Source organism: Homo sapiens, chromosome 18, assembly GCF_000001405.40.
Source record: "Homo sapiens chromosome 18, GRCh38.p14 Primary Assembly".
Lineage (NCBI taxonomy): Eukaryota > Metazoa > Chordata > Mammalia > Primates > Hominidae > Homo > Homo sapiens.
Genome location: NC_000018.10, coordinates 12,950,562 through 12,966,261, shown reverse-complemented (window position 1 = coordinate 12,966,261; position 15,700 = coordinate 12,950,562). Strand labels below are relative to the sequence as shown.

The 15,700-nt window shown below is 40.1% G+C and overlaps 1 protein-coding gene across 9 annotated transcripts in view; it reads right to left on the bottom strand.

Annotated features, from left to right (window-relative positions):
- The window catches only part of SEH1L (SEH1 like nucleoporin), a 39,526-nt gene that overhangs the window by 21,275 nt on the left and 2,551 nt on the right, over positions 1–15,700 (bottom strand). For 3 of the 9 annotated variants that reach the window (XR_007066232.1, XM_011525744.2, XM_011525742.4), the window contains exons 2-5: positions 14,357–14,407; positions 10,653–10,799; positions 2,891–3,102; positions 1,767–1,826 (exon numbers count right to left, since the gene is read on the bottom strand). Coding sequence is in view for 7 of the 9 variants with exons in the window: in XM_011525744.2 (XP_011524046.1) it covers positions 1,767–1,826; positions 2,891–3,102; positions 10,653–10,799; positions 14,357–14,407 (470 nt within the window). In the remaining 2 variants the exon portion in view is untranslated. The remainder of the gene's footprint in view (positions 1–1,766; positions 1,827–2,890; positions 3,103–10,652; positions 10,800–14,356; positions 14,408–15,700) is intronic. The other 6 variants (XR_007066233.1, NM_031216.4, NM_001013437.2 and 3 more) reach the window with 3 other exon arrangements.

The following is a 15,700-nucleotide window of genomic DNA, read 5'->3' as shown; positions in this document are numbered from 1 at the left end:
AATTAGACGGGCATGGTGGCACATGCCTGTAATCTCAGCTACTCAGGAGGCTGAGGCAGGAGAATCTCTTAAACCCAGGAGGCGGAGCTTGCAGTGAGCCAAGATCACACCACTGCACTCCAGCCTGGGTGACAGAGCAAGACTCTGTCTCCAAAAAAAAAAAAAAACCATAAAAATAAAAATAAAAAACAAATGGTAAGTGATAAGTAAGATTAATCAACAAAGGCCAACACATAATAATCCAGGTTGGGGTTTTTCCTGGAGAAGGGGAATGAGGAAAGTACAGCAGCAGCTTTGGGTTACTGTAGCTGGGAGATGAGTATGGAAGGGTCTGTCTACTGTACTTCTGTTACTTCTGGTGTATCTGAAATTTTCTCTAATGAATACACTAGACAACCCCAAGGTGGAAAAAACTGCTCAAATAAAACACAAAAAGCACTCCAACAATAAAGCCTGACAAATGTGATTACATTAAAACTCATTTCCATTGGCTATCAAAATCCATCATAAAAAATGTCAAAATATATGTGCAAGAGAGCTCAGAATAATAACGCAAAATCCTAAAACCTTCCAAAAAGAAAAAGCTACCTACAAAAGAACCAGCATCAGACTGACGACAGCTCGTTAATAAAACCTAGTTAAAAATATGCAAGAACTGTATCTTTTGAAATTCTTACATTCGGAACTCTAAAACTAGCCAAACTATCAATTAAGCATGGAGTCAAATTAAGACATTTTCAGGTATTTGAAGAGTTTGCCATCCATTCCATCTCCATATTGGCATCTCAAATGAATACTTACATAATCTAGATTGTAAAGCTGGCTGCCACTTAATTTTTAGAATCAATTTGTAGTCAAAAGACAAAATACTTACACATGTGTTAAATGTTTACAGAATGTAAATATTATAAATCTTGCCAGTATACAAGCAATATAAGAATTAGGAAATGGACTGGGCGAGGTGGCTCATGCCTGTAATCCCAGCAGTTTGGGAGGCCGAGGTGGGCGGATCACAAGGTCAGGAGATCGAGACCATCCTGGCTAATACGGTGAAACCCCGTCTCTACTAAAAATACAAAAAATTAGCCAGGCGTGGTGGCAGGCACCTGTAGTCCCAGCTACTCAGGTGGCTGAGGCAGGGGAATCGCTTGAACCAGGAGGCGGAGCTTGCAGTGAGCCTAGATTGCGCCACTGCACTCCAGCCTGGGTGACAGAGCGAGACTCCACCTCAAAAAAAAAAAAAAAAAAAAAAGAATGAGGAAATGGAAGGGGCAATGTGAGGGGGAAGCAATAAACTAATTCCCTCTTTTTTAAGAGAGGGGAAGCCAGGCACAGTGGCTCACACCTGTAATCCTAGAACTTTGGGAGGCCAAGGCGGGCAGATCACCTGAGGTCAGGAGTTCAAGACCAGCCTGGCTAACATGGACAAACCCCGTCTCTACTAAAAATACAAAAAAAACTAGCCAGATGTGGTGGCGGGCACCTGTGATTCCAGCTACTTGGGAGGCTGACACAGGAGAATCGTTTGAACCCAGGAGGCGGAGCTTGCAGTGAGCCGAGATCATGCCACCACACTCCAGCCTGGGCAATAGGGCAAGACTCCATCTCAAAAAAAAAAAAAAAAAAAAGAGACGGGAGTAAATATATAGTCTAAAAATTGATAAATATGTGTAGAGATATATATATTATTTGAAATTATAATAATTACCAGTATAACTCCAACAACTATCAACATCACCACAAATAAGATATCTATCTAGTCATACCTTGGGATGTGGAAGTTGTATAAATGTGCTCTATTCATCTTTTCTATCAGTTTGGATATTCTTTAATGATAACATAGCAAGAACATGTGGAAAAATAGCAGAATAAAAATTTTTAAAAAAAAGATAACATAGCAAGAACCAAAGGTATAAGTAAATCCTTTAAAAATATACTAGTGACTACCAGAATTAAAGTCTGAAAACAGAACTATTGACAGCATTTGTTTTTAGGGGGTAAAGGAACTTTACCTTTCTTTTTGTATTCTTATGGATTATTTCAATTTTTTTCTTCACCAAGTGATTCTTATAATTGTTTAAAAACAGTTTAATAAAAAGCAACTATGGTAATATTCATATAGTCATGCTCTATGCAGCAGTTAAAAAGAAATGAGGTAAGACTAGATATATTAATATATGGAAAAATGCCCACAATGTATCTTTAAGTGAAAAAAGCTAATTGCAAGGAAGGAAAATGTAAGGGTTTCTGGCTGGGTGCAGCAGCTCACGCCTGTCATCCCAGCACTCTTGGAGGCCGAGGCAGGCAGATCACCTGAGGTTAGAAGTTCAAGACCAGTCTGGCCAACATGGTAAAACCCCATGTCTACTAAAAATGCAAAAATTAGGCAGACGTGGTGGCGCATGCCTGTAATTCTAGCTACTTGGGAGGCTGAGGCAGGAGAATTGCTTGAACTCAGGAGGTGGAGGCTACTGTGAGCCAAGATGGTGCCACTGCACTCCAGCCTGGGCAAATGAGCAATACTCTGTCTCAATCAACCAATCAATCAATCAATCAAATGTATGGGTTTCAATATCTGGTGTTCTGTGTCTACTTGTGCTAGTGAATATCTGGGCGTGTTTGCATATATGTGTTTATGACAACATTAAATAGTTATTTGCATATGCATAGAAAACATCCAAAAGGTTCACATGAAAATATTTACAATGCCGGCTTCCTCTGTTGAGTGAAAACAGGGACAAATGACATGCCTGGGTGAAAAATGGAGAACATATACTCTATATATCTTGAGAAGAAGCACCTTTGAGAGAATAAATTATCAAATTGTTAGCTTAAAAGTTACTAGTTTATTTTACTAGGATGTTATCAGAGGTTTAATATGTAAACTTACCTTGAAGGGTTCCAAGAAATACAACTACAGCTTAGCTTACATGAGATCTCATGCTGCAAAGACCACTGGCTGAGATTCATAACATCTGGTGCCTCATAGATTCTTACTATACCATCTGCGGAACAGGTTGCTAACATAAGACCCATGTGCTTGGGAGCAAACTTCACATCAGTAACAGATGTTCTGCTATCCACCAGAGTTGTCCTTTTAACCTAAAAAAAAAATAATAACAATTTAAATTATATACAAAAAGAAAGCATGGTAGAGTGGAAAAGACACACAGACTCTGGAATCACACAGAAACTCCTCTATCATTCACTAGGTATATAAGCTTGGATACATCTCTGGGCCACAAGTTCCTACAAGTACATGGCAAAATACCACATATATAGCTGGGAATCACTAACAAATTAGTGAGCTATAATTAATTACTCCCTTTAATGAAAAAAAAGTCTACCTCCAAAAGCCTACCTTTGTTATATAAGTAATCTCTCTTAAGCAAACTGATCACAAAAAAAAAAGAAAATGTTAGAATTTTCAGACAAGAAGTTTTGTCACACAAAGCATGCTGCAAGCATTAGACCCTTTAACTGTAAATGAGTTGGGCGTGATGGCTTACACCTGTAATCCCAAAACTTTGGGAAGCCGAGGCAGGCAGACTGCTTGAGCTCAGGAGTTCAAGACCAGCCTGGGCTACATGGCAAGACACCGTCTCTACTAAAAACTAAAAAAAAAAAAAAGCCAGGTGTGGTGGTGCACGCCTGTGGCCCCAGCTATTCCGGAGGCTGAGGCGGGTGGATCGCTTGAGCCAGTGGGGCAGAAGGTACAGTGAGCAAAGATCGCACCACTGCACTCCAGCCTGGGTGACAGAGTAAGACCCTCTCTCAAAAAAAAAAAAAAAAAAAAAAAAAAGAAAGGCATGCAATTTCTTCTCTCAAGAATAATTTTCTGTTAATCCCATTTGGACCACTATTATTATTATTTTTTTTTTTTTCTTAGGGACAGGGTCTTGCTCTGTCACCCAGGCTGGAGTACAGTACCATGATCATGGCTCAAGTGATCCTTTTGCCTCAGCCTTCCCAGTAGCTGGGATGACAGGCACCTGCCACCATGCCCAGCTAATTTTTCTTATTTTTATAGAGATGGGGGGGTCTCACTATGTTGCCCAGATGGGTCTCAAACTCCTGGCCTCAACTGATCTTCCCACCTCAGCCTCCCGAGTTGCTAGGATTACAGGTGTGAGCCACTGCACCCAGCTACCATGCACTTTTAAGTGAAGGCTTTTAACAGGGACCAAAAGAATGGTAGAAAGCAAGCTTTATGATCACTGTAAAATTCCAACATCACATTTAAAAGTTATCTTCTGGCACACAGATAAGATGAAACTTTACTAAAAACATCAATAAGCTCAGGTGCAGTAGCTCACGCCTGTAATCCCAGCACTTTGGGAGACTGAGGCGGGTGATCACTTGAGGTCAGGAGTTCAAGACCAGCCTGTCCAACATGGTGAAACCCCATCTCTACTAAAAATATTCAAATTAGCCAGACATTGTGGCGGGCGCCTGCAATCCCAGCTACTAGAGAGGCTAAGGCAGGAGAATCGCTTGAGTGTGGTCGGCGGAGGCTGCACTGAGCCGAGATCATGCCACTGCACACCAGGCTGGGTGGCAGTGCAAGACTTTGTCTCAAAAAAAAACTAAGTCAATAAAGTTTAGCAATCAACAGATTACTGTCTATGGTTACCAAAATCCTTCTTAAAGAGTCTCAACATTAAAAGGATAATATTACATAAACTTCAAAGATAACATCTTAGCAAACTTTTGTCTACAGACACCACTGAATAATTAATACAAACACAAATGTTGAGAAAATAAATGCATTTGTTACAGTAGGTAGTCAGACATGAGCAGGGCAGCAGAGGACCCCACCCCACCAGGAATGTCAAGCAACCATCAGGTGATGATCAGGCAGTTGTTAAACTTTCTCTCTAAACTAATCATTGGTTGCAGCCAGTGCCAGGGAAAGGTAGTCTCCCAACAGATAGAAACACCTGAAACTGGTGATCAGCAGCTTCCTGATAAGATCTGAGGAGTTGGATGACTGGGCTCAAGCATGTGCACTAAGAGGAAAAATGGTGGAGCTTAACTGATCTATGACCTTCTAGGAACATTCTGTTAAGGGAAAAACGCCTCAAGTGAGCATCTGCGCAACTCCAGTAAACACACTGCACACGCAGCCCCTCCCAGGCACTAGTGGGCCACTGCACATGCGGACTGCCCACCCCAAGGGAAGAATCAGAGAAGAGACGCAACCCCTGGGAAGCATGCCAACGTGTAACAACCCAAGTCCAAGATCAAACCATGCATTTGACTCTCTCAAGTCACCCACTTGGCCCTCTTCCAAATGTATTTTACTTCATTTCTGCTGTAAAATTTTTTAACAAATTTCCACTCTGGCTCTAAAACTTATCTTAGTCTCTTACTCTGCCTTATGCCCCTAGGTGGAATTCTTTCTTTTGAAGAGGCAAGAAATGAGGCTGCTGCAGACCCATATGGATTTGCCACTGCTAATATATTAATGAAAGATGACTAAACTAAATACAAATAAGTATCTTGAAATTCAAAGAAAAGTCCTTCTTATGCCACCACTCCCAAATCCAATCTATAGTATACTGAACTGACACACCTCAGACTTAACGCCAAAAAAACTTTTATAATTCTATAAATTTCTATTCCTTCCTCCCCATAAGCAGCTGTTTGGCTTAGGGAAGCCCTAGTGCAAAGGCAATCAGACATACTCCTCCCCTGAGAAGAGCTGTAAAACAGTCTGAATAGCCACTCAAGCTACAAAGCTACCGGAATTAAAACAGTGTGCTATTAGGACAAGGAGACATACAGATAAATGTCCACAAGAGAGCCCAGAATGCAATCCTCCATATATATAGCCATTATTTTCAACAAAGGTGTCAAGACCATTCAACAGGGGAAAGAATGGTCTTTTCAAGAAATGGTGCTGGGAAAACTAGATTTCAGCACCCTAACATTTTTTAATGACTGAAATAAATAATTTGTATCAGGCCCTTGCTTGCTTGCGCATGTTAACCACTCACTTTTTGCTGAATATCCCTTGTTGCCACAATATAATGATAAACTGTTGATGTACTGCTTCTTTGTCAATCAAGAGAAGATAACTTCAGCGTCATGTAAAGAAAAATGTTGCCAGAAGAAATGAATGGCTTTAAGGACACTGTGACCAGCTGCTAACAACCAGACATCTGGTTGCTCAAGGCGTTACCTGAGACCAAAGAAACACAGACTTTTCCACTGGATTCTGTGAAACTCCCCCTCCCTTACTAGATCTAGTCACATAAAATCTACCCAATGCTTCCTTTTGTTTAGATGGATTCGAGAGATCTTGCCCTCCCATCTTCTTGCTTTAGCCAAATCGAATAAACCTTTCTCTATCTCCAAGTACCGGTGACTCAGTGTTTGCTCTCAGCTCCACATTGGGGATACAAGCCTGAATTGAGGATTCTATAACAATCTTAGAAGAAAACATTGGGGAAAGTCTTCATGACACTGGATTTGGCAATGCTTTCCTGGATATAACACCAAAAGCATGGGAAACAAAAGAAAAAAATTTAGATAAACTAGACTTCAAAATTTTAAAATTTCGTGCATCAAAGGAAACCATCAAGAGTGAAAAAGGCAACCCACAGAACGGGAGAAAATATTTGCAAATCATTTACAGGTTGTGCATATCAAATCCAAAAATCTGAAATCTGAAATGCTCCAAACTCCAAAACTTTTTGAGCACTGGCATGATGCTCAAAGAAAATGCTTATTGAAGCATACCGAATTTCAAGTTTTTGGATTTAGAATGCTTAACTGGGGCTGGCCACGGTGGCTCACACCTGTAATCCCAGCACTCTGGGGGGCCAAGGTGGAGGATCGCTTGAACCCAGGAGTTCAAGACCAGCCTGGGCAACTCTATTAAGTAAATAAATAAGTAGGCGAATGCTTAACTGGTAAGTATAAATGCAAATATTGCAAAATCCAAAATCCAAAATCCAAAACATTTCTGGATCCTAGCATTATGGATAAGGAATACTCAACCTATAACAGATAAGGGATTAATATCCAGAATATATAAAGAACTCCTATAACAACAAAAAACCCAATTTAAAAAAATGGGCAAAGGATATGAATAGTATTTTCCCCAGGAAGACATACAATTGACCAATAAGCACATGAAAATAAGGTCAACATCAGTAATTATTAGAGAAATGCAAATCAGAACCACAATGGAGATGCCACTTCACAACACAGTCACTAGGATGGCTACAATAAATAGCACCACAACAAGTGCTGATGAAGATTTGGAAAAACTGGAACCCTTGAGCATTGCTGGTAGGAATGTAAAATGGTGTAGCTGCTATGGAAAAGTCTGACAGTTCCTAAAAACGTGAAACATAGAACTACCATATGAGCCAGCAATTCTACTCCTAGGTATATTTCCAAAAGAATCGAAAGCACGGTCTCAAACATTTATCTGTACAACAATGCTCATAGTAGCAGTATTCACAATAGCCACGAAGTAGAAACAACCCAAGGGTCCATCTACAAATGAATGGATAAACAAAATGTGGTATACACACACAATGGAATATTACTCAGCCATAAAAAGGAATAAAGTTAATATATGCTACAAAATGGACAGACCATGAAAACATTTTACTTAGTGAAATAAGCCAGTTGCAAATGGACAAATACTGTGATTCCACTTACATGCAGTACCTAGTCAAATTTATAGACAGACAGTTGAATAGGGGGTAGAGGGAGGAGGAAGGGGGAGGCATTCTTTAAAAATATGGAGTTTATGTTGGCAGTGATGAACAGTTTTGAGTACAGATAACAGTGATGGGTACACAGCACTGTGAACGTAATTAATTCTACTGAATTATACCATTTACAAATAGTTAAAATGGGCCAGGCATGGTGGCTCACGCCTGTAATCCCAGCACTTCAGGAGGCCAAGGCAGGAGAATCATTTGAGATCAGGAGTTCGTGACCAGCCTGACCAACATGGTGAAACCCTGTCTCTTCTAAAAACACAAAAAAATTAGCCAGGCATGGTGGCACATGCCTGTAGTCCCAGCTACTCAGGAGACTGAGGCAGGAAAATCGCTTGAACCCCGGAGGCGGAGAATGCAGTAAGCCGAGATCCCACCACTGCACTCCAGCCTGGGTGACAGAACAAGACTCTGTCTCAAAAAAAAAAAAAAAAAAAAAAAAAAAAAAAAAAAAAGTTAAAATGAGGAATATTATGTTATACATATTTTACCACAATAAAAAATTGCATCATGGCCCTCGTAGTGGCTCACGCCTATAATCACAGCACTTTGGGAGGCCGAGGTGAGAGGATTGCTTCAGTCCAGGAGTTCAAGACCAGCCTGGGCAACATGGTGAAACCCCATCTCTACAAAATAAAAAAATCAGCCTGTGGTGCATGCCTGTGATCCCAGCTACTTGTGGGGCTAAGGTGGGAGGATCACTTGAGCCCAGGAGGTTGAGACTGCAATGAGCTGTGACTGGCTCTAACGTAGTATCATGCCATTAGGGAGGGCAGGTGAGGGGTAATAGCAGGACACTCCCACTACACACTTCCTTTTGTTTCTTTTGAATTTTACACCATGTGCATGATTATCTATTACAAAAAACAAATCATAAAGGGGGAAAAAAAGCATGCAGATGATAATACCTTCATATGAAAATGCTGGAAAGAGTCTTAAATATAATCTAGTTCAATGTTTTCACTTTATAGATGAGGAACTTCAACAGCACACAGATTATATTATGTTCTTGCCCAAATTCAAACATCCAATAAGGCAAAGACAGCGATAAAAGCAGATGTAGATAAAGGAGAGTGTATTTTTTTTTTTTTGAGACGAAGTCTCGCTCTTGTTCCCCAGGCTGGAGTGCAATGGCACGATCTCTGCTCATCACAACCTCCGCCTCCCGGGTTCAAGCGATTCTCCTGCCTCAGCCTCCTGAGTAGCTGGGATTACAGGCATGTGCCACCATGCTCAGCTAATTTTTGTATTTTTAGTAGAGGGGGAGTTTCTCCATGTTGGTCAGGCTGGTCTCAAACTCCTGACCTCAGGTGATCTGTCCATTTTGGCCTCCTAAAGTGCTGGGATTATAGGCGTGAGCCACCGCACCCGGCCGAGGACAGTATATTTCCTAAGAAAACAAAAGTAACCACAAAACAAAAGAAACAATTTTTATAGAATTTTTTTTTTTTTTGAGACAAGTCTCGCTCCGTCGCCCAGGCTGGAGTGCAGTGGCGTGATCTCGGCTCACTGCAAGCTCCGCCTCCCGGGTTCACACCATTCTCCTGCCTCAGCCTCCAGAGTAGCTGGGACTTACAGGCACCCACCACCATGCCGGGCTAATTTTTTGTATTTTTAGTAGAGACAGGGTTTCACCATGTTAGCCATGTTATTTATTTTATTAGGTGGGTATTTTCTGTAGAAAGAATTTGCAAGTAAAATGGTGGACTTACAGAATCTTTGTTTCAAAGGTTGGTTACGCTAAACTCTGAAGCAACTCTCCAACTATCAGCACTGGAAGTAGTCAAGTTTATCTGGCTAGATTTTTCTTTTATTAGTAAAATGTCAGAAGAACTGGACTTCAGAAGCATTACAATCCTAAATATAGAATGTCTTCTAAAGGTTAAAACATTCTGGAATTTAACTTTTTATTTACATGTTATGTTGATCAGTTTTCTTCTCTCATAGAAGTAAAACTATATTCTGTTTCCTGATGTAAAACCAGTGTTTATGAAATATGAATAAGTATTTAGGAAAAAAGAAGCCCTGGGATAATGAGTATCTGTTCTTTTCTTTTTTTTTTTTTGATTCCCCAGACACACAGTGGATCTGTATGGCGTGTGACATGGGCCCATCCTGAATTTGGCCCATTAAATTTATTTAAATTTAAATAAAATTTAAAGAATTTTATTAACCCTTGGCCAGGCGTGGTGGCTCACGCCTGTAATCCCAGCACTTTGGGAGGCCGACAGGCAGATCACGAGGTCAGGAGATCGAGACCATCCTGGCTAGCACAGTGAAACCCCGTCTCTACTAAAAATGCAAAAAATTAGATGGGCGTGGTGGCGGGCGCCTGTAGTCCCAGCTACTCAGGAGGCTGAGGTAGGAGAATGGCGTGAACCCGGGAGGCGGAGCTTGCAGTGAGCCAAGATTGTGCCACTGCACTCCAGCCTGGGTGACACAGTGAGACTCCGTCTAAAAAAAAAAAAAAGAATTTTATTAACCCTTAAGAGTTTAAAGTTAAAAAAAAAAAAGAATTTTAGAGTTAGGCACAGTGGCTCATGCCTATAATCTCAGCAACTCAGGAGGCTGAGGTGGGGCCAGGAGTTTGAGACTGCAGTGAGCCAGAATACTTTAAAATCATATATTACTATCATAAAATATACTAATAGGTAAAATCAAATACAATGCAAATATTCTGGATTCATCATAAAAGTTATAAACAATGCAGTGATGCTCCTAAGTATTGCTTCAGACCCAAGTTAAAATGAAATAAAAAAGGAAGAAAAAAACATGGAAGAAAGAACTTTAGAACTGGTAAAACTAGAGGGGAGTGGTGATATTTTACCAATTATCTGAGGTAGCCTTCGGATGAATGCTCCTTGGCTGCTCATGTCTTCCCGGTCCCCAGAATACTAATAAATGTCTCACCCAGTGGCTCTGTCCTCGCAGTTTATCATTTGATTCTCCTACTATTTCTTCCCATACAGCAGCTGTTCGGTCAAAAGAACAGGAAGCCAAAACCTGCCCAAATTCAGGATGGGCCCATGTCACACGCCATACAGATCCACTATGTGTCTGGGGAATCAAAAAAAAAAAAGAAAAGAACAGATACTCATTATCCCAGGGCTTCTTTTTTCCTAAATACTTATTCATATTTCATAAACACTGGTTTTACATCAGGAAACAGAATATAGTTTTACTTCTATGAGAGAAGAAAACTGATCAACATAACATGTAAATAAAAAGTTAAATTCCAGAATGTTTTAACCTTTAGAAGACATTCTATATTTAGGATTGTAATGCTTCTGAAGTCCAGTTCTTCTGACATTTTACTAATAAAAGAAAAATCTAGCCAGATAAACTTGACTACTTCCAGTGCTGATAGTTGGAGAGTTGCTTCAGAGTTTAGCGTAACCAACCTTTGAAACAAAGATTCTGTAAGTCCACCATTTTACTTGCAAATTCTTTCTACAGAAAATACCCACCTAATAAAATAAATAACATTAGATTTATTTGCTCCAAAATCCATACAGACAGAAAGTAGATTAGTGGTTACCAGCGGCTGGGAGCAGAGTAAACAAGAAGTGACTGCTAAATGAGCACAGGGTTTCCTTTAGAGGTGGTAAACAATGTTCTGAAATTAGAAGTGGTGGTGGTTGCCAATTAAATGAATATACTTAAAATCACTAAATTGTACACTTTAAATGGGTGCACATTATGATATGTAAATTATAGCTCAATCAAAAAAATACTTTTTTTTCATTTGATTCAACCAGGCATAGTGGCTCACGCCTGTCTTCTCAGCCCTTTAGGGGGCTGAGGTGGGCAGACTGCTTGAGCCCAGGGGTTCAAGACCAGTCTGGGCAATATGGCAAAATGCCATCACTACAAAAAATACAAAAAATTAGTCAGGTGTGGTGGTATGCACTTACGGTCCCAGCTGCTTGGGAGGCTGAGGTGGGAGGATCACTTCAGCCTGGAAGGTTGAGGCTGCAGTAAGCCAAGATTGTGCCACTGCACTCCAGCCTGGGTGACAGAGCAAGAACTTGTCTCCAAAAAAAAATTATTTGCTTCAAAAGTCTAACAATATATAGAGATTATAGCCATAGAATGCTTAAATGATTTTAACTGACAATACAGTCTATCGATAACAGACTATTGTAGGAAGAGCAAATATGGGGAAGCCCAAATCCTTACACCCCTCCTGTTGGCCAAGGGGTGGGAGGGGAGGTGGCTGGAGAAGGGATACAAAGGTCTTAAAGAATTTCACCATCAAAAGAATTTGCTAGGTGCTTCTCAGGGAAAATACTGTATAATAACAAATAACATTCAGAAAATGTGTTTCACACTGTATAGCTAACATTTTTTACATTCAACAACATAAAAATAGTTTAACCAATAACTTCTACATGGTAACAATGTCACCAACTAAAGGTACATTTTGCACCCTTTTTTTTTAACCTTGTTTTGTCCAGTCTTTTCTGTATCATCTTTAATTCTTACTTATACAGGGCTATAAAATTAAAAATGCACACTAAGGCAGATAAGTTTTATTAGATTTACAGTAAAATGCAATCTAAAGAATAAGGTTTGCACAAAGATGCTCATCACAATAAAATGGAAACTGAAATATCCACTAGTTAAGCAAAATGGTATATTTATTGGCTGTTAATAAAAAGCCTTTAAAGATATAGAAAAGTACATATGAAATATATTAGGCTTAAAAGCAAGAGATGGGGTTTCCTTTTGGAATAATAAAAATGTTTTAGAACTAGAAAAAGGTGGTAGTTACACAACACTGTAAATGAAGTAAATGCCAATTAATTGTTTACTCTGAAATTATTAATTTTATAAGTTAACCTCACCTTAAAAGGGGGGGGGACCTTGGATAGACCTTTCACAAAAGAAGATACATGAATGGTAAATAAGCATATGAAAAAATAATCAACATGAGGTATTAAGGAAATACAAATCAAAATCCAATGATTTTTGTGGTCACTTCTCAACTACTAAAATGGCTATAATAAAAAAGACAGATATTATCGAGTGTAGGTGAGGATGTAGAGAAACTGGAACCTCACACATGGCTGGTGGGCACAGCCACTTTGGAAGAGTTTCGCAGTTTCTTAGAAAGCTAAGTGCATATAGCCCATCAATTCCACTCCTACGCATCTATCCAAAAGAAATGAAAATATATGTCTACACAGACTTACATGGCACGTTCTTAACATTACTCATAACAGCCAAAAACAACAACTCAAATGTCCGTCAACTGGTGAACAGACAAACAAAACGTGGCAATATACATACAACGGACTACTCAGTATCAAAGGAACAAATTGACACATGACACAATATGGATGAACCTCAAAACATGCAAAGGGAAAGTGGCCAGACACAAAGGACTATGTATTTCAAAATTCCATTTCTATGAAATTTCTAGAAAGGATAAACCAGGCCAGGCATGGTGGCTCAAGCCTGTAATCCCAGCACTTTGGAAGGCCAAGGCGGGCGGATCACTTGAGGTCAGGAGTTCGAGACCAGCCTGGTCAACATAGTGAAACCCTGTCTCTACCAAAACTACAAAAATTAGCCGGGTGTGGTGGCATGCGCCTGTAATCCCAGCTACTCAGGAGGCTGAGGCAGGAGAATCGCTTGAACCCAGGAGGCAGAGGTTGCAACGAGCCAACATCGCACCACTGCACTCCAGCCTGGGCGACAGAGCAAGACGCCAGCTCAAAAAAAAAAAAAAAGAAAAGAAGAGAAGAGAGGGTGGGAGGGGAGGGGAGAGGGAGGGCAGAGGAGAGAAGAAACCTATGGAGACAGAAAATGGATCAGTGGTTGCCTGGGGCTTGGAGTGGGAATAGGATACAAAGGAATTTCTGAGTTTGAGAGAAAAGTTCTAAAACTGGATTACAGTGATGACTACACAACTATGTAAGTTTACTAAAACTCACTGAACTGTACATTTAAAATGGATGACTTTTAAGGTATGAAAATTTCTACTTGGCCGGGCACAGTGGCTCATGCCTATAAACCCAGCACTTTGGGAGGCCGAGGGAGGATCACCTGAGGTCAGGAGTTTGAGACCAGCCTGGCCAACATGGCGAAACCCCATCTCTGCTAAAAACACAAAAATTAGCCGGGCATCGTGGTGCACGCCTACAGTCCCAGCTACTTGGGAGGCTGAGGCAGAAGAATCACTTGAACCCAACAGGCGGAGGTTGCAGTGAGCCAAGATCACGCCACTGCACTCCCACCTGGGCAAGAGAGCAAGACTCTCCGTCTCAAAAAAAAAAAAAAAAGAAAATTTCTACTTGAGTAAAGGTTTTGTTTTTTTTTTTTAAGAGAAAACTATGTATGAAACATCACAACAATTAAAATATGTAAAGGCAAAAGGAATATTCTGAATTACTAAGATAATTATGTTAGAATGCTACAGAATTACAGATTTTCTTACTCTCAAATTCTGAGAAACACAGTTGTTACTTTAATAGCGAAAAACAGTAAAATGTCTTCCCAGGAAAAGAACTACTGTATAAATGTTATTTTCTCAAAACAATTCATAGATAACTATAAAATAAACAGTAAATATTTCTGTATTTTTAATAAATGTAAAAATAAATACTAACCTTCCAGCTAGCAGTACAATGCCAATCACCACTTTCACTTTTATCCCAGACCTATAAGAAAATAAAAGGCAGATATTTTATACAAAAATTCCTACAAATTGATACAAAAACTATAAGACTGAATCAGTGTACAAGGAAAGCGGTGAACATATAGTTAACAAAAGAACACAATCAGCAAGTAAACATTCATTCATTCAATTAAGTATTTATTGAGAGGCTGGGTGCGATGGCTCATGCCTGTAATCCCAGCACTTTGGGAGGCCAAGGCAAACGGATCACCTGAGGTCAGGAGTTCGAGACCAGCCTAGACAACGTGGTGAAACCCCGTCTCTACTAAAAATACAAAAATTAGCCAGGCATGGTGCCGCATGCCTATAGTCCCAGCTACTAGGGAGGCTGAGGCAAGACAATCGTTTGAACCCCAGAGGCGGAGGTCGCAGTGAGCTGACATCACGCCACTGCACTCCAGCCTGGGAGACAAAGCAAGACTCCGTCTCAAAAAATTTACATTGAGAACCTTGAATGTGTCAAGCACTGGGCCAAGCACCAAGGGATTCAGGAAGCTGAGCTCTATTAGGTAACAGAGACAATTAGTTACAGTCACTACGCTTGGAGGCCATTTTAAACAGCAAAATCACCAACAGAAAGAACAAATAATCATTGCACTAAATAAATCATGAAAAACACCTGCTTACAGTATGAGCCAAAATAGAGTATCGCCTGGTTTCACCTCAATGGGAAACGTCTGTCCTGAGACTCAAACTTTTTCACCACTCCTCACACATGCACAAATGACTGCAAAACCAGTGTGACTTTTGGGGTACAAGTAAATTTCAGAGTAGACAAATTCAAAAAATACAGAATCTACAAACAACAGGCTCAACTGTACATGTAACAAATGGTAAAGCAAAAATATTGAAACCAGGCATGGTGGTGCACACCTGTAGTCCCAGCTACTCAAGAGGCTGAGGCAGGAGGGATTACTTGAGCCCAGGAGTTTAAGGCTATGATCACGCCCGTGAATAGCCACTGCACTCCAGCCTGGGCAACATGGCAAGACTCCATCTCAAAACAAAAAAATTAAACCTTATTACCCAGAAAAAATATAGATTACAATAAGAAGGTGCCAATTTCACCTGTTAAAAATGTAACGAGGGCAATAACACTATCAAATCAATACTATCACTGGCGGTATAAAACGGTACGACCTGCAAAATAGCAATTTGTCAATTCTCTTCAATAGTGTTTAAAATATCCACTAATTTATCTTCTAGAATTAGCCTAAGAAAATCATTCAAAATACATAAAATGCTAAACTAATGAAAAATTTCAGTACAACACTAT